The following is an 18,493-nucleotide window of genomic DNA, read 5'->3' as shown; positions in this document are numbered from 1 at the left end:
CCTCGGCTGGGATTATAGCCATGCATCAAAGCAGCTTGGCCCTATTAGTACATTTTAATCAGAGATTAAACTATGTTGCATTTTAAATTTCAGTTTAAAAAAATGATTCACACGTTATACACAAGGACAATTTTAATCCTGCATTTTCCTGGAGTAACATCCACTGCTGGCTATCTATGGATTGTAACTGCATTTGCTAAGAACTGTGAACACAAAGAAACTTTACATGAAGTCACATGTTGATACAGGCACACAGACATCTTTCAGCAGCAACAGACTACATACATAACGCATACCAGATAGTCTCGATGGATAAATCTGCTTCACCAGTAATTCTATTTAGTAAAATCCACAGTTAATGGAGAATTCCATTTTTTAATTTTACATCTTTACTACACATTTTTCTAATACTTTATTTTTAAAAAACACTCATTCAAGATTGTAATTTGCATGGCGATAAACAAGGGTTCCATGGGTTCTAAGTTTCTTAAAAGTGTCCACAGCAACTTAAAACACCACAAGTCTTCTTTCCAATTTGCAGCACCTGACTTAAAGTTTAAATTCATCAAATACATCATTAAAACTGTCATTTTCTCTTGTGAGAAGACATGTTTCAATTGCTATTTCCAGGACTATATATTGAGCATGGGTGTACAGTACTTTTAACTGGTTAGCACAATTTTACTCACATAATTTATAGCCAGAATAAGAACCTCTAGCCTCTCTGAACGGCCTTCCACTCAGAGCAGATGATGACGATAAATGTCTAAAATGTATCTGGGGTACTCCACTTGACATTACCAAACATGCTTCCAAATAATCTTAGAAAATATGATTCTTTAAACATATGCATAATATTCTACCACACAATGCACCATCACTTCTTTAACCATTTCCCAATTGTTCATTTATAACATTTGCAATTTTTTATTATAAATAATATTGTGATGAATACTTTCATCCATAAGTTTTATGCAAGGCTGATTATTTCTTCTAATGTCTTCTAATGTCAAAGAAGTGGCTTACGGGTTCAAACAGCGCACATACATGGTTTTAAGGCTTTTAGTATACTTTACCAAATAATCTCCAGAATAGCTCAAACAACTCCTACCAACAGTTATGTTATTGTGCCCACAGGGTGGACTTCATAACAACACAGCAAATTCAACCACAGATCTATTAGATTCTCACCCATCTCAAAACTATCACATCAAAGAAGCAAGGAGACATATTACTGGTGAGGAAGCCAAATTCAAATTCTTTTAAAAAATCACTCAGCTTTAGATCAGTAAAATTATCAACAAAAATGCTCCCCACAAAAAGTCTACCGGGTTTTTCAAAAAATAAAGTTAAAAAGAGAGAAAGAGAAACTCAGGCTGGGTGCGGTGGCTCACATCTGTAATACCAGCACTTTGGGAGGCTGAGGTGGGCCAATCACGAGGTCAGGAGTTCGAGACCAGCCTGGCCAACATAGTGAAACCCCATCTCTACTAAAAATACAAAAATTAGCTGGGCGTGGTGGCGGGCGCCTGTAATCCCACCTACTTGGGAGGCTGAGGCAGGAGAATCACTTGAACCCGGGAGGCGGAGGTTGCAGTGAGCCGAGATCGCACCACTGCATTCCAGCCCAGGCAACAGTGCGAGACTCTGTCAAAAAAAAAAAAGAGAGAGAGAGAGAGAGAGAAAGTCAGTACCAAATGACCAAAATTTTTTATTTGACTAAATTCTATTCATGCATGAGCATGACAGTCTCCCGTTTATTTGACTTTGGCAATAAAAAAACAAGCAGCCTTGTACAGAACAGTGAAAATGCCAAGGACGAGGACAGTCTACAGTTTTACTGTAGAATATATATATATGTATACATATGTGTATATATGTATACATATATGTGTATATATGTATACATATATGTGTATGTATATATATATACATGTATACATACACACATGTATATATACATGTGTATATGTGTATACATACATATATGTGTATATATACATATATATGTGTATATATATATATATTTTAAAAGGCCTCTCTCCCTTTGGCCATATCAACTCTCAGTTCAGGCCATTAAATACAGACAAATTTTCAAATTCACTTCTTTACTTCTCCAAGATCTTCGATGCTGTCATCATCTACCTATAAAACACAAATAATTATATCTCATGAGTTGTGGTTGCAATTAAGAAAAAATGGAAGCAATTTGCTTTAAAAACTTATCTCTAGCGATGTATGTGTTCCATGCACTCACCTCTGGCCATTTTTCCTGAATGACATCAATTATGTCATCTGTAAAATCTCCCTGAATGATAATTTCATCCTCCCCTGTTACTGAGGCACCACAGGAGAATTTTTGAGCAAAAAATCTTTGTGCTTCTTTAAGATCAATTTCTATTTTTTTAAAAAAAGAAAGAGCAAGAACTGTAATTGGAATTGTGCAAAGATGTTTTTCCATTTTGAAATTTAATCTGCATTTTAAAATCATAAAACAGATTGTTAATGGGTTTTATATTCCTTTCAGAACAATACAAACTACCACAGAGATCTTAACAATGCAATTTACACTTTCAAGGTCAAATAAAGGCTCAATACATAAAAACAGAATCATCTATACTACCCCTTACTCATATTAAGACCAAAATAAATCCAGGGACACTTTATTCATTTTTTTTTTTGAGACGGAGTCTTGCTCTGTTGCCCAGACTGGAGTGCAGTGGCTCGATCTTGGCTCACTGCAACCTCCGTCTCCCAGATTCAAGCGATTCTCCTGACTCAGCCTCCTGAACAGCTGGGATTACAGGCATGTGCCACCGTGTCTGGCTCATTTTTGTATTTTTAGTAGAGATGGGGTTTCACCATGTTGGCCAGGCTGGTCTCAAACTCCTACCTCAGGTGATCCGCCCATGTCAGCCTCCCAAAGTGCTGGGATTATAACAGGTGTGAGCCATCACGCCTGGCCTCTTTTTTCTTTTTTAAGGCTAGTCAAGTGAAGCAGTGGGAGTAAAGAAGGAACAAAGAAATATGTAAGTGGTTGTGATCATTTAGCTGTAAACACCACTGTACTCAGACCAGCCTATTGATTGTTTTTCAATCTGTGTTGTCTCATAGAGGCATCATAGTTTACATTTTCACCCAGTTTCACTACTCATTCAAGGCTTCCAGGAACTAAGGGGCTCTAAAGAAGGATGTTCTGCCACCTTCCTCAACCTCTCCTGTCATTCCCAGAGGGGATGAGCCATTTTGCAACCTTTTGCCACCATGCCTGCAGAGGACAGAGGAGCAGCATTGGCTGGTTTCAAAGAGAATCCTACCCAGCCGTCCTCATCCCACATAAAATGTGCCCAAGCAGGAATTCCAGAAAGTAAAAAGTCCCCTCTACAAAAGATTTTGACATTTCTCTAAAATTTGATTTTGAAGCTATAGTTAGAAATGCAAAATTTATCTTCTTAGCAAAAAACAGACCTGTGAAGTTTTCATGGTATGTGAGAGAGAGAGAGACAGAGAGATAGAGGGAGACAGAGAGAGAAAATAGTTCACACATTTTAAATATACTTAAGCCTGAACTCACCAAAAGTTGCAAGGCCACATACTCTTGTCACATATTTCTTCTTTGCTCTGGGAATTTTGGCTATAGTAACCTTTTGTGGTACGGTCTTCTTTTTTTGTTTTATTTGACCCCTTCCACCTTTATTTATTAAGAAAGAGCTTAGCTTTAGTTGTTTTTGACATAAGAGAATACTGTCTTTAAATTTATTAATTCTCAAAAGGTTTAAGTTTCTTTTTCTCTAATACAAAAATTACTAAACACATCCAAGTATTCATTCAATAAACATTTATTAAGTACCTACTATGTGCCTAGCACTGGGCTAAGAGCCGAGGATACAAAAGTGAACAGAACATAGCCCCTGCCCTCCAGAGACTCAGTCTAGTGAAGGGAGTAAAAAAAGAAGTTACAGCAACCTGATACATACAATAATAGGAATCATGAATAAGGCTTTATGATAGCTTTGCAGAGAAACAACTTAGTCTGCTTCCAGAGGACACAGAAAGTTTCCTAGAGGAAGTAATATCTAGGTGGAGTTGTGAAGAATAAGGAAAGGTCCAGGTAAAGGGAAAAAGGCTGGAGAGGCATAAGAAAGGACATTCCAGGGAAAGGGAACAAGTACAGAGATAAGAAAAGGCGTTATATTTGGGAACTTCACTTGTCTTGATTGAAGGATGCTTATGAATATGTAGCAGATGGAGCCAGAAAAGCAAAAGATTACATACATAGCAGTCACTGGATCTGTGTTTCGGTGGATCTGTGAAGAGTAAGACTGATAGAAAGGCCCCTACAGAGGCTCTTGCGTTAGTTCAGGCAAAAAATTGAAAGTAAAGCAGTGCCAACAGTAATGGCCACTAGGCCACAGGCAGGAGAGGAGGGAGGAGAAAGAACAGAAGCAAGAACTGAGTAAAGGGAGAAAGAGAATGTAAGATGGTTCTCAGGGCTCTGGTTTGCATGACTGAATAAATAGTGTTGTCACTAACCAAAATAGAGAAAAAGAAGTCAGTTTGGGACTTGAGACTCGAGACTCAGTAAGCTTAATTTCCAAAGTGCAGTGTTTGAGGTGCTTCTGGGATAAAGCACACTTCTAGGCTAGAGACACAGGCCAGATCCAGATATACAGATTTGGGAATTTTAAGTGCATACTGGGCAGCAGAAGTTAGGGATGTGATAGAATCATCCAACAAGAACGTGCAGAATGAGAAGTAAGTGGGCCTAGGACAGAATCCTGGAAAATACCAACTTTTAAAGGGCAGAAGGAACAGAAGTCCGCACAGAAGACTAAGGAGGAGTGATAGGAGACCTAGGAAGGAACAGAAACCAAGGAGGGACAATGTTTCAGGAAAGAGGGAGTGCATGTGCGCTTATTATTTAGCAATAACTAAGCCACTGCTGACCCTTATCGGAAGAGCTGCAGTGGCCAGGAAGTCAGGTTAGGATGGACTGAGGAGTGAACAGTGTACCACAGAACAGAAGCGGGGATAGTGAGTCTGGCCTTAGTAAAGAAATCTGGCTAAGGGAAGGAGAGGGATAAGGTAAAGAAAGACATGAGCTTTGGGGAGAGTTTTTTTTTTTTTTGAAGATGCAAAGTCCTAAAAATATTTATAAGTGAATTTTAGTCATAGGGGAGAATAATGAATGAAAATGAAACAGGTGGGTACAGGATCCACAGCACCAGGAGTTGGTTTGAGAAGGAGTCAAGTGTATGCAACAGCCGTAAAACAAAGTTTTCAACTGAGCTATCAGAAGTAATGAGAAGATAAAATTTTTTATATAAATGTCCTCACTCTACTTAAATAGAAGACACAGGAATTTTAGCTGTTTTTTACATACAAACAGGGCAAATAAGCATGTTTTCCTAGGTCCAATTTACTGACACAGCCCAAATCATACCACATCCAACCATGATCCTATTAGTATGTGCCCCTTTGTATGATATACATGGGGAATTACAATAACAGGTACATGGTATTAATGTTGGGAACCTCCCCCTTTTTGTAAGGGATGAGGTCTCACTATGTTGCCCAGGATAGAGTGCAGTGGCTATGTGGAGGAACGATCATTGCATACTACAGCCTTGAACTCCTGGGCTTAAGTGATCCTCCTGCCTCAGCCCCCTAAGAAGCTGTGACTATAGGCGCCCACCATTGTGCCTAGCTTTGGGAACCATTTTAATTACTTACATTTTCTATCGCAGTGACGGTATGACTGTACAAATCAAGATGTGAATTTAGGTCTTACCTCTCTTCTGTTTTTTCTTCTCCTCTTCTTCCCCTGCTGTTCCTTGACCCTCACTAATTCCAGCTTCTTGTTTGGGTGAATTTTCTAGATATAAAAGTGAAATACAAAAGCATGAACATCATCTCACACTGTTAAAAAAAAAGAAATCACCTTTGAGCAACCTCATATACAAATAAGGCATCTTACCAACAGCTGAGCATGAAATTTGTAAAGCAATGGATTACACTGCTAGATTTCTATTCAAGTCTAGTTCTAAAGTCATTATAGTAAGTGTATGGTAACAGAAGAGAAAACCCAGTCTTTTGATATGTGAGGGCTGAAATTTTTAGCCACAGGAAAGGAGCATAGAACACTTGGGCTCTGCAGGAGTGCTCTAGCATCTAAACTTACTAATTTTGTTAACATCTAGAGAAGAGCTCCCCACCCGCTCAGACATGATCCTATCCCAGGAAGGTCCCGTTCAGGGACAACCATGTAGACTGAATATAAAACCAGACTTGAGGGTTCTTATTCAACCACTGACAGTGATGGAGTAGCTACCAGCCAAAATGGACTTACCAAGTTAGGGGTTTGTGTGTCAGGGAAATCACTTGAAAGTCAAGGAGCAATGAGTGGGGCAGCACTGGGTGTCTCTGAGCAGGCCTGTTCCCAGACCAGGCTTTCTCTTCTTCTTGCTACTGCCTTCATTTTTACCAGTCTTGCAAGAGAAGCCATCAATATGAGAAAACTGAGGAATTCTGTTCCTCCATAGTCTTCCCACCTCTGGCAATGGCAACTCCATTTTTTTTGAGACGGAGTCTCCCTCTGTTATCCAGGCTGGAGTGCAGCGGTGCGATCTCGGCTCACTGCAAGCTCTGCCTCCCGGATTCACGCCATTCTCCTGCCTCAGCCTCCCAAAGTAGCTGGGACTACAGGCGCCCGCCACCTCGCCCGGCTAATTTTTTGTATTTTTAGTAAAGACAGGGTTTCACCGTGTTAGCCAGGATGGTCTCGATCTCCTGACCTTGTGATCCGCCTGCCTCGGCCTCCCAAAGTGCTGGGATTACAGCGTGAGCCACTGCACCCGGCCTCTTTGGTCTATTCTTAGCAGAGCAGCCTAAGTGATGCTGCTGAAACAAGTCAGACCTTATCACTCTTCTGCTTAAACTCCTCCAAGAGCTCATCATCTAACTAAGAGCAAAAGCCAAAACAGCCCACAATGCCCTACCCGTTGTGGTCTACTCTGACTTCATATCAAACTCTTCTCCGGTCCTTCAATAAGCTCCAGACACAAAGGCTTCCTTGCTGTTTCCTGAATATACTAGGAAAGCTTCTACTCAGGGCCTCTCCTCAGGCTGTGTCCTCTGCCTAGAAATGTTCTGCCAGATACCCAAATGACTCATTCCCTCAGTTCCAAAATAATCAACTGCCACCTTTTCAGCAAAATCTTCCCTGGGTACTACCTAAAATTTCAAATTCCTTCCCACCAATTCTTATCTCCCCCTTTCCTGCTTATTACTGTCTACATACTATGTTTTGCTTATTTAATCTGTCTCCCTTTCTAGAATGTAATTGCCACAAGAGTAGGAAATCTTTTATTGGCTTATCCTCAGAATCTGCAACAGTGTGTAGCATATAGTACACTTACAATAAAAATCAATATATATTTGCCCCTAAATCATTTACTTTTTTTAATTTTGTTTTTTTGAGACAGAGTTTTGCTCTTGTTGCCCAGGCTGGCGTGCAATGGTGCCATCTCGGCTCACTGCAACCTCTGCCTCCCGGATTCAAGCGATTCTTCTGCCTCAGCCTCCCGAGTAGCTAGGATTACAGGCATGCGCCACCACGCCCAGCTTTGTATTTTTAGTAGAAACAGGGTTTCTCCATGTTGATCAGGCTGGTCTTGAACTCCCGACCACAGGTGATCCACCCGCCTCAGCCTCCCAAAGTGCTGGGACTACAGGCGTGAACCACTGCGCCCAGCCAATCATTTACTTACTTTTTTTTTTTGAGACGGAGTCTTGCTCTGTCACCCAGGCTGGAGTGCAGTGGCACGATCTCGGCTCACGGCAAGCTCTGCCTCCCAGGTTCACGCCGTTCTCCTGCCTCACCCTCCTGAGTAGCTGGGACTACAGGTGCCTGCCACCACGCCTTTTTTTTTTTTCATTTTTAGTAGAGATGGGGTTTCACTGTGTTAGCCAAGATGATCTTGATCTCCTGACCTTGTGATCCGCCTGCCTCAGCCTCCCAAACTGCTAGGATTATAGGTGTGAGCCACTGCGCCCGGCCCATTTACTTTTTTATGTAAGAAAGTTGATATTCAGACCTATCCTATCTCAGAGAGAACTTAAACAGCTAACAGATAAATGTTAATTCTGTAATATCCTACTAAAGGAGGACTTTCCTATCTTTAGAATAATGCCATACATGCATTTGTCTCAGGTACAGAAGTTTAATGCAAGAAAAAAAATGTTCATACCTACAGTAAGTTTTGCAAATTCATTTGGAAAATTCTTCTCTAACCATTGTCTACATTTAGCAACATCAGGCATATATTCACAGTACTAGGAGAAAAAAAAAGAACTGAGTCACAACAAAACATTTTCAGTCAAACAATATGTCGTAATTAAAAATCACCCCCTATACTTGTTAATACAAAGAATAAAACAAACCACTCCCATCTGACTTCTTATCCACAGGAAATCTGTATTCAACCACGATATGTCCCATAAAAAATTAGATATTAAGAAGGATTAGGTACCTCTTCACAGTACCAATTTATTTCTTCTCCCTCTATTTCTTGCTTTGAGCACATAAGTGCCTCATTTTCATGACTTGCTCATAGAGCTGGACTTAGAAAGTCTTACACATAATTTATACTGCCCTTTCTTTCCTCTGCTCATTTGTATAGATTTTGGCATTAAGGTTACTCTTATTTTATTAGCTGACTATTCATAAGTCCCATGCAAAAATCCAAACTGCACAGCCATGTGCAAAAGATGCACATGTATGATTTAAGGTCTAAATTTAGGAAAGAATATATAAGACCAAAAAATTACTCTAAATCAAAGTTCTCTATAAAAGGTTAAAGCTTTACTATCAAATAATCAAAAATGAAAAATAAAAAAAAATTCTCAAGGTAGCTTTAAAACCAAGAATAACTTCAAATACATAAGGTAAAAAAAAAAATTAAAGAACTTACCTCTGTTGGTAATGAACAGACTGAGGAAGTAAAAAGAAAAAAGATTTGAAATGTTAAACCTATATGTACACACATACACAGGGCTTATCCTTACTTTTATATTTGAGAAAATGCTTCATTTTTACATTTTCCCTATAAGTTTTCTATACCACTTTTCAAATGCTACTCTTCAGTGTTTTTGGGGTAAAAGGCACATGGTTATTTGAGATGATACTATCTTGACTTTTTCATCTAAAGAGTGTCTCCATCAGCTGATGGAACATCAAAATATGCTATTTTGTATATAATGAGGTCTTACCATAACCATTTCAGTGGGTCAAAAAATTAAGCTAAGACACGAACAATTTCCCATACATCAGAGTTTGAAGGAAACTGGTTATTTCTTTTCTTTTGAGACACGGTCTCACTCTGTTGCCCAGGCTGGGGTGCAGTGGTGCAATCATGGCTCAATGCAGCCTCCACCCCTCCAGGGGCTCAAATGATCCTCCCACCTCAGTCTCCCAACTAAATGGGACTACAGATGCACACCACCATGCCCAGCTAATTTTTTGTAGAGACAAGGTTTCACCATGTTGCCCAGGCTAGTCTCAAACTTCTGGGCTTAAGCGATCTACCTATCTTAGCTTCCCAAAGTGCTGGGATCACAGGCGTGAAGCACTGTTCCCAGCCTGGTTATTTCTTTTGATGGTTCTACCAAAACAGCCACCACTTTTTATTCATACTGACACATTTATAAACTTTAGCAGCATTTTTACTACCATCTTTTTGCAATATATTTTTCCTTTTTTTTTTTCTGAGACAGAGTCTTGCTCTTTCTGCCAGGCTGGAGTGCAGAGGCACGATCTCGGCTCACTGCAACTTCTGTCTCCTGGGCTCAAGAAATTCTCCTGCCTCAGCCTCCCAAGTAGCTGGGATTACAGGCGTGTGCCACCACGCCCGGCTAATTTTTGTATTTTTAGTAGAGACGGGGTTTCACCATGTTGGCCAGACTGGTCTCAAACTCCTGACCTCAGGTAATCCGTCCGCCTCAGCCTCCCAAAGTGCTGGGATTACAGGCATGAGCCACCGCACCTGGCCTATTTTTTTTAGAGTAAGGGTCTCACTCTCACTCTGTCACTCAGGCTGGAGTGTAGTGGTGTGTCCATGGCTCACTGCAGCCTCGAACTCCTCAGCTCAAGTAATCCTCCCGCTTCAGCCTCCCAAGTAGCTGGGACTATAAGCGTGAGCCACTATGTACAGGTAAGTTTTTTATTTTTGTAGAGACGGGATCTCGCTATGTTGCCAAGGCTTTTTCATGTTATGCTACATAAGATCATGAAAGTGTAAAGCTAGAAGGAATCTTGGTTCAATCCTGTCATTTGGTGTTAGAGCCTGTACAGGCTAATAATGGACTAGAAGAACTGGAAAAGCTTCCAATTTTAACCGTAATTCTAATACTGGGTCAACTGCTTATTTTGTTTTTATTTATTTATTTTTGAGACGGAGTCTTGCTCTTTCACCCAGGCCGGACTGCAGTAGCACTATCTCGGCTCACTGCAAGCTCCGCCTCCCGGGTTCACGCCATTCTCCTGCCTCAGTCTCCAGAGTAGCTGGGACTACAGGTGCCCGCCACCGCGCCCGGCTAATTTTTTGTATTTTTAGTAAAGACGGGGTTTCACAGTATTAGCTAGGATGGTCTCGATCTCCTGACCTTGTGATCCGCCCGCCTCAGCCTCCCAAAGTGCTGGGATTACAGGAGTGAGCCACCGCGCCCGGCCTTTTGTTTTTATGTTTAAGGTTTAGAATGGAGTAGTTCAGTGTGTCCAATATCCTGAGATTTCTCAGGGAGAGGAAGGTGGTATACCATGTAGTCACAGCAATTACTACACACTGGGCACCTAGTATGTGCCAAATGTTTTGCTATGCCTTATATACATTATTATGTTTAGTTATCACAACCTTGTAAGATAAGTACCATATCTATATTCAGATGATGAAACTGAGGCTTAGAGTACATAACCACTTGCATCTGGATAACAGGATTTGAATCTGCCTGTTTCTGACGCTCATGCTATTAACCACTAACTTAGGTTACACAAAGTAAACAAGCAACTTAGTGGCACCTGACAGCTGAAAATGATCTGCCTTCACCTCACCCTACTAACATTCTAACATGCTACCACACAATCACTATTTTACAGATGGGGCACTAAAAGAGTTAAACAGCTCATACAATGACAAAGGTGGTATGTGGCAGAAGAAAACTGGAATCCATTGGTTTTGTCCAGTCTAGTCTATTATAGTTTAGGGTTATTTCCACCAAAGATCTCTCTGGTTAGCTACAGCCCTATATTCCTCACAATTCAAGTTCAAATACTAGGCATAGTTGTTCAGCCACACTTTCAGGATATAACTATACAATTATTGGTTAAACACCATCACAGCAAATACTAAAGCTACAAATTTTGTATACTATTTCAAATAATATTTAGTTCAGAAAAAAAAAAAAATTGGGGTTTTGCTCTGTTGCCCAGGCTGGAGTGCAATGGCACCATCTCAGCTGGCTGCAACCTCTACCTCCTGGGTCCAAGTGATTCTCGTAGCTCAGCCTCCCGAGTAGCTGGGATTACAGGTGTGCACCACCACACCCAGCTAATTTTTGTATTTTTAGTAGAGACAGGGTTTTGCCATGTTGGCCAGGCTGGTCTTGAACTCCTGGCCTCAAGTGATCTGCCTGCCTTGGCCTCAGCCTCCCAAAGTGCTGTGATTACAGGTGTGAGCCACTGTGCCTGGCCCGGTTCAGCAAAATTCTAATGCAATAAAAAAATTGGGGGAGCTCCTTTAAGTTCACCATTATTTGCTTTAAAAAAGTCAATTTCTCTTTACAGATCACTTACTTATTTGGAAAGGGAAAACTGTACCTTTTCAATGCAAACATTTAGCCGTCACCTTCAAACTTAGCATCACTAATAGTGAAACATCTGACATTATGAGCTCTTGATGCAATGCAACATGATGAATGAAACATCATCCACGAAACTTTCTTGCCAAAATCTGTTTAACTTGAATCTAATTAAGCCTCTAGGCCGGGTGTGGTGGCTCACGTCTACAATCCCAGCACTTTGGGAGGCCGAGGTGGTGGATCACCTGAGGTCAGGAGTTCAAGACCAGCCTGGCCAACATGGTGAAACCCCATCTCTACTAAAAATACAAAAATTAGCCGGGTGTGGTGGCGCACACCTGTAGTCCCAGCTACTCAGAAGGCTGAGGCAGGAGAATCGCTTGATCCTGGGACGCAGAGGCTGCAGTGAGCTGAGACTGCCACTGCACTCCAGCCTGGGCAACAGGGCAAGACTCCAACTCAAAAAAAAAATAAATAAATAAAAAATTAAGCCTCTAGACTCCAGCTTCTTTTTTTTTGTTAAAGAGACAGTCTCACTTTGTCACCCAGGCTATAGTGCAGTGATGTGATCTTAACTCATGCAGCCTTGAACTCCTGGGCTTAAGTGTTCCTTCCACTACAGCCTCCGAGTAGCTGGAACTACAGGCACTTGCCACCACACCTGGCTAATTTATTTAATTTTTTGTAGAGGCAGGGTCTCACTATGTTGCCCAGGCTGGTCTCAAACTCCTGAGCTCAGATGATCTGCCTGCCTCGGCCTCCCAAAGTGTTGGAATTAAAGGTGTGAGCCACTGTGCCTGGCCAAATGAGCAAAGTTACCACCACATGGAAACATGGAATGGGACTAATCCACAGCCAGGTACCTCTTGATAAAATGCACTGAAATTAACAGCACTTCTGTGGTGGTCTTGGCACAAGATCATAAACTAAATCTAGTCTTAAGAACACATCAGAATGGCCGGGTCTGGTGGCTCACGCCTGTAATCCCAACACTTTGGGAGGCCGAGGCGGGTGGATCACAAGGTCAGGAGTTCAAGACCAGCCTGGCCAAGATGGTGAAACCTCATCTCTACTAAAAATACAAAAATCAGCCAGGCACGGTGGCAGGCGCCTGTAATCTCCGCTACTCGGGAGGCTGAACCAGGAGAATCACTTGAACCCTGGAGGCGGAGGTTGCAGTGAGCCGAGATCACGCCATTACACTCCAGTCTGGGCAACAGAGTGAGACTCCTTCTGAAAAACAAACAAACAAAAACTGCCTTTCTATAACAGAGAATGAACAGCCACAATCAGCTTCCTGAAAGTCAATATTTTCAATTACAAATTTCGCTGTCAACAGTCACCAAAATCACTAACTTTGCACACAGTGTCACTAAGCCTCAATCATCTCATACTTTAAAGTCTTCTAAATTTGGGGAGGAGGGTGGAAAAGATTAAAATAAAAATAAAGTCTCCTAAACTTGATTTCTGTGGCCAGTTTCAACCCATTTCAGGCACTTCCTCCTTCCTTCCAAACAGTTATTATCCAAAAAGATATAACCAATCACATCACTTCCCAGATTAAGAACTTTTCAAACATCTTATCGTACTTCTCCAGACTCAACTCCTACCAGCCCATGGTCCAACCACAATGAACTTCTATCCATGCCATTCTTTTCAGCAAACACCTATTCATCCTTCAAGACTCTGCTAAGTTTCCTTGAAGCTGATGTTATAATGGCTTGTCTTGGATTTTAATCCTGGCCCCACCACTTATACAATTGAGAAGCTTATCATCAATAAAACTGTAATATTTCAATTTTGAAGATTAAATATACAAACATAAAATCCACTCAATACTTTAACTTTCCCTTTTTTCAGTTCTCCCAAGTAGAACTGGTTGGTTCTTTATTCTCACTGCAGTCTGCTCACCCCTCTAGTATACAATTAGTACATTATAACTCACCTGTTAAAATGTTTGTCTTCCCAGTTAAGCTCAGTTTCCAGGAGATAATTATGTCTTATTTCTGTATATGGAGCACAATGCTTGCCACAGAGCAGATGCTTAAAACGTGTTTCCTAAATGAATTTGAGCTGCTCTCTGAAACCCCAGACTTTAGCTGAGAGCAAATTCTCTAATTTGCATCCTTCTTTTTGCAAAAGGGGAAAGGGAGGGAGGGGGAAGGAATGATAAGAAAAATGCCTATGTCACTATCGCTTCTATTTTTCTCTTTAATCAGTTGGGTATTCTATTGGAGGGTTTTCCCTCTTCTCTAAGCACTCCAGCAATACTAAATGTCTGTCAAAACTACATCCAGTTTATTTCTCCCATCTCCCTTGTCCTCAAATCTGATTAACTGCTTTATACTGTTCATCCTACCATAATTTATTTTTCAACCTCTCTTCCTCACTTATGCCACTCATTTAAATGCTCATTAATTTTGTCTAAAGTCTTATTATAGCCTGGCCAATAAGCCTGCCTCCCTCAATTGTTATCTTGCTGCCAGATTCATCTTCATGTAACTTCACTGCTCCAAAACTTTCAATGACTTACAATTATCTACAAATCAGGTGCCCCAGAACTTGGCCCCAAACCACGTTGCCATAATTTCCGGCTGCCCCTCTTCATGAATTCCACAATACAACCAAACTGTAACACTCGAAACTCCCTCCACACTACCCACTATTAAATACTTTCCTACCTCCACTCCTTTGCCTGGCAAGTCCAACCTTCAGCCCTTCTGTGCCTGCCTGAATGCAACCTTTCCTTCAAATCCCCATTTGGCTGTGGTTGCCTCTATGAAGTCTTCCCCTAATTTCCTACAAATCTCTCCCCTCCTGTACTGACACTGCAGCTATTAGTCCTTAATCTTTATTTCTTGTCTCTTTCTTCTTTTTTTTCTGGGATGGAGTTTTGCTCTCAAAGGCTGAGTGCAGTGGCACGATCTTGGCTCACTGCAATCTCCGCCTCCCAGGTTTAAGCGATTCTCCTGCCTCAGCCTCCCGAGTAGCTGGGATTACAGGCGCCTGCCACTATGCCCAGCTAATTTTTGTATTTTTAGTAGAGACAGGGTTTCACCATGTTGGCCAGGCTGGTCTTGAACTCCTGACCTCAGCTGATCCACCCACCTTGGCCTCCCAAAGTGCTTGGATTACAGGTGTGAGCCACCGCGCCTGGCCTATTTCTTGTCTCTTTCTTTCAGCATTCATCATCTTCCCTGTTAAGTTATATGTAGACAGACAGGGCCTCTGCCAATTTATATGCCTCCACAGAACTTAGCCGAGGACCTTATACATCAGAGATACTAGGTAAAAATTGTTTATAGTCTTTGTAAATTGTTGATTATGATGTGGACTCTATTAACAATGTCATCATACCTTCTTACCAAGCTGGCTAACAAAATCCACTACTTTTACAAAATGGTAATGTTAGAAATTAAAAGGTACAGTCTAATCCCATCTCCACTACTAGTTTCTTCAATTAAGCATAAGAATGTTTTTACATTAAGTGGAAGCCTGTACTGTTCTGGAGAGTGTTGACAAGGTAGAAAGGCACCTTTCAGTAGTTTCCACTTTAGTCCTAGTTCACTGACCCTCTGAGGTCACAGGGAATAGATCTTATCCTTTACTCACATAGGTTTCCAAATTTAAAGAGTTGTTTCACAGGTAATCATTATATAAAAATATAATAGGAATCTATATTCTGAGCATCTTGTTAAAATAAATGTATCAGTTTTTCTCACATCCTTAGTTTTGTTTTTTATTTTTGAGATGGGGTCTCGCACTGTTGCCCGGGTGGGAGTGCAATGGCGTGATCTCGGCTCACTGCAACCTCTGCCTCCCGGGTTCAAGTGATTCTCCTGCCTCAGCCTCCCAAGTAGCTGGGATTACAGGTGCCTGCCACCAGGCCTGGCTAAGTTTTTGTATTTTTAGTAGAGACGGGGTTTCACTATGTTGGCCAGGCTGGTCTTGAACTCCTGACCTCATGATCTGCCTGCCTCAGCCTCCCAAAGTGCTGGGATTACAAGTGTGAGCCACTGCGCCCGGCCCCTTAGTTTTAATTCATAATTACAGAAAAATAAAACAAGATTTCTAGAGACTGACATTTTCACTAAGCTTCCAAACTTCTCACCAACTAAGCAATTCTCTATGTGGTGAAATCTACCCAGTTCACCTCGTTCCAGGTACACCCCAAGAATCTTTCTGGCTTTTCTCTCTTTCTCCCTTAGAAAAGCTCATATACTGTCTCTCTCTGCTGCCAAATGCAGCATACTTGGATTCTTCCATTTGGAGAAACTCAAATTCACTGTATTGCAAGTCAGCCTATTATCTATCTCCAAATCTAATCTTTCTCAAAGTCATCATTTTTAGTGGTGTTCTGGTTTTTCAACTCTCTCAATTGTGAAATATCTTTTTCCTTTTTCACCATTAAACATTGTATCTTTTCTTTGATTAACCCTCTTTATTCACTTTTATACTGCTTACACTCTCAGCAAGGCACTTATTTACCTCAAACCTAGATTTCTGAAAGTGGCCTTCAAATTTGTGGGTTCTATTTCCTCCAAATAATGCAGCATATTAATCTCTTGTCACTTTATTTTCCTGCTCAAAAAATGATTAGGTTGGTGCAAAAGTAACTGCAGTTTTTGCCATTACTTTTAATGGCAAAAAGATATCATTTCTCCTTCTACGGTACTTAAATGTCAGATGTGGTCTCTACTGCAGTCACAGAATGTAAGGTCCACGTGAACAAGGATCTTCTGACTTATTCACTACTCAGGCCCCAGCACCTAAAACATCACTAGGCACACAGTAAGTTCTGAGAAATATTTACTGAAAAAATATTTACTTGCCCTTTTACTGTCCTGTATCTTCAGATTTTTCTGAAAGTTTCCAAGATGCGAATACATACAGCATTTACAATTCACAAATATTTCTATATTGAAAATGAAGAAAAACACTCGAAAGTGAAAAAGATCTTGATTAAACCTAATACATATATCATGATTCAAACCAAGAAGACTTTCCTCACTGTCCTACCACCCAACACTCCAACCTCACCTTCTCCCACTCCTTAACGGGCCACCCTCCCTATACGATACACCAGACAAACTCAAAGCTGCTCACTTCTTCACAGACAGCCATCAAGCTTTTTCTTACATAGTCGTGCGCTTTGTCTGGGACGCCGTTCCCCACCTTCTCATCCAGTCCTTGCCATCCTTAACTCATAATCTTCCAAGAAGCCCTCCTTTGACAGCTAGACTAGCATACACCTTGAGGACCTTCAGGCTGAAATAACCTAGTTGCACATCCTGTTACAAATGGACTGTAAGCTTCTTCAGGCAGAGTAGCCAGACACAAATCACCCAGGTGGGGAAACTCTGTTAATTCATGCCTCCTCCTCCCCAGGACTCCTCTCCCCCAGTACAAACTCACCAAATGAAAAGGATGGGGAAGAAAGCTTACCAAATGTCAAACTGTTATTACAATGCATAAAAGTATAGTGAGTAAAAGTCATTCTGTGGCTACCAACACTTGCCTCCACAATAAAGGACTCGAAGTGGGTAATCGGCATCTAACTTGGCACTGTTCCTTGGGTCTCCTTTGCAGTCAGCCCCGCTGGATTCAGAAATGTCAGCAGCCATTTCACAAACCTGTAAGCAAGGAAAATAACACACCCTCACTATTTTAGAATCAAGACCCCAGAAGAGCAGTGTTCCTCTCAACAGAAACCTCCCCACCCCAAAGCTGTTTCAAGTCTGTTGTTGAGTGGGGGATACAAGCTGCATTCGATTCATAAAATATGAGCAATCCCAGGCACAACATCTCCTTGCTCCACAGGTCTACAGGGAAGCAAGCAGCAAATGGACCATGAAGGATGGGGCAGAGGGACTCACTAGAGAAAAACAGGAAGCAATGGGGAAGGAAAGATGGGGTGAGTACCCACGGCAGACACGGAGCAAAAAGGTCTGAGGGTGATCTGGGAGGGATGCAAACTGCAGTGAGAGAAGGGCTACAAAGGCGCCGAATGGAGAGAGGCTGGAAGTGCCTAGGAACAAGGGGTGGGTCATCGGAGAAGCCCGGGGTGCAGGGTGTGGGGGCAACTAAACGCCATGAGAGGGGCCTGGGGAGTCTAAAAAGGGCATGGGAGGGGGCGGGGTAACCAGAGCGTAAGAAGGATGAGGAGAGAAAACGAGCGCAGAATGTAAGAGCACTGAGGGGACAAGGGCGACCAGGTCTGAGGCGAAGGAGCAACCCCGGGGACGCCAGAAGGGGCCCTTGTGGGCGGGGGTGTGGAGAGGCCCGGCCCGGCCCCCTTCCGCCAGGCAGCATCTCAGCTTCCCCCACACTCTCTACGAGCTTCTCGGGAGCGGGAGAAGCACTTGGGGTCGTTACCCAGGCGGTCGCACAGGCCCCGCCGGCTCCGCTCCCGCCGCTATCGCCAGCTGAACCAACACATGCAACTCGTCTCCCCGGCCAGGGCCGCCCGAGCGCCCGACCGCCAGCAGCGCTCCCGCGAGACAATGAGCCTTTATCGCGAGATTCCGGCCGCCGCTGGGCGGATGTCGCGAGAAGCCGGAAGACGGGGGCGGAGAAAAATTGCGGAGCGTGCGCCTTGCCCTCCGGTGGGGGGCGTGGCCAAGAGGCCGAGAGGCGGGCC

The 18,493-nt window shown here is 42.2% G+C and overlaps 1 protein-coding gene across 1 annotated transcript, besides 2 other annotated features; it reads right to left on the bottom strand.

Moving 5' to 3' along the window:
- Positions 1–114: 114 nt before the first annotated feature.
- Positions 115–18,355, bottom strand: DENR (density regulated re-initiation and release factor). The gene is made up of 8 exons (NM_003677.5): positions 18,229–18,355; positions 17,372–17,486; positions 8,973–8,992; positions 8,250–8,334; positions 5,792–5,875; positions 3,575–3,691; positions 2,258–2,397; positions 115–2,145 (listed from the first exon to the last, which is right to left on the bottom strand). Exons 2-8 carry the CDS (start codon positions 17,475–17,477, stop codon positions 2,101–2,103), a joined length of 597 nt encoding a protein of 198 aa, NP_003668.2. The 5' UTR covers positions 17,478–17,486; positions 18,229–18,355; the 3' UTR covers positions 115–2,100.
- Positions 17,847–17,906: an enhancer, noted in NCBI's record as "active region_7236". NCBI's record gives its function as "activates an Ori minimal core promoter by ATAC-STARR-seq in GM12878 lymphoblastoid cells {active_cell/tissue: GM12878}" and the evidence as "EXISTENCE:reporter gene assay evidence [ECO:0000049][PMID:35858748]".
- Positions 18,047–18,096: a silencer, noted in NCBI's record as "silent region_5020". NCBI's record gives its function as "represses an Ori minimal core promoter by ATAC-STARR-seq in GM12878 lymphoblastoid cells {active_cell/tissue: GM12878}" and the evidence as "EXISTENCE:reporter gene assay evidence [ECO:0000049][PMID:35858748]".
- Positions 18,356–18,493: the final 138 nt, after the last annotated feature.

This window comes from Homo sapiens, chromosome 12, assembly GCF_000001405.40.
Source record: "Homo sapiens chromosome 12, GRCh38.p14 Primary Assembly".
In the NCBI taxonomy this organism is placed as follows: Eukaryota; Metazoa; Chordata; class Mammalia; order Primates; family Hominidae; genus Homo; species Homo sapiens.
This window is presented reverse-complemented; position numbering and strand designations above follow the sequence as displayed.

Excerpts from the sequence above, each read along its gene's own strand:
- DENR (NM_003677.5), bottom strand. The coding sequence starts at position 17,477 with ATGGCTGCTGACATTTCTGAATCCAGCGGGGCTGACTGCAAAGGAGAC. Across the intron at positions 8,335-8,972 it reads TCTGTTCATTACCAACAGAG|TACTGTGAATATATGCCTGA; the intron begins GTAAGTTCTTTA and ends TTTTTCTCCTAG. Across the intron at positions 2,146-2,257 it reads TTCAGGAAAAATGGCCAGAG|GTAGATGATGACAGCATCGA; the intron begins GTGAGTGCATGG and ends TGTGTTTTATAG.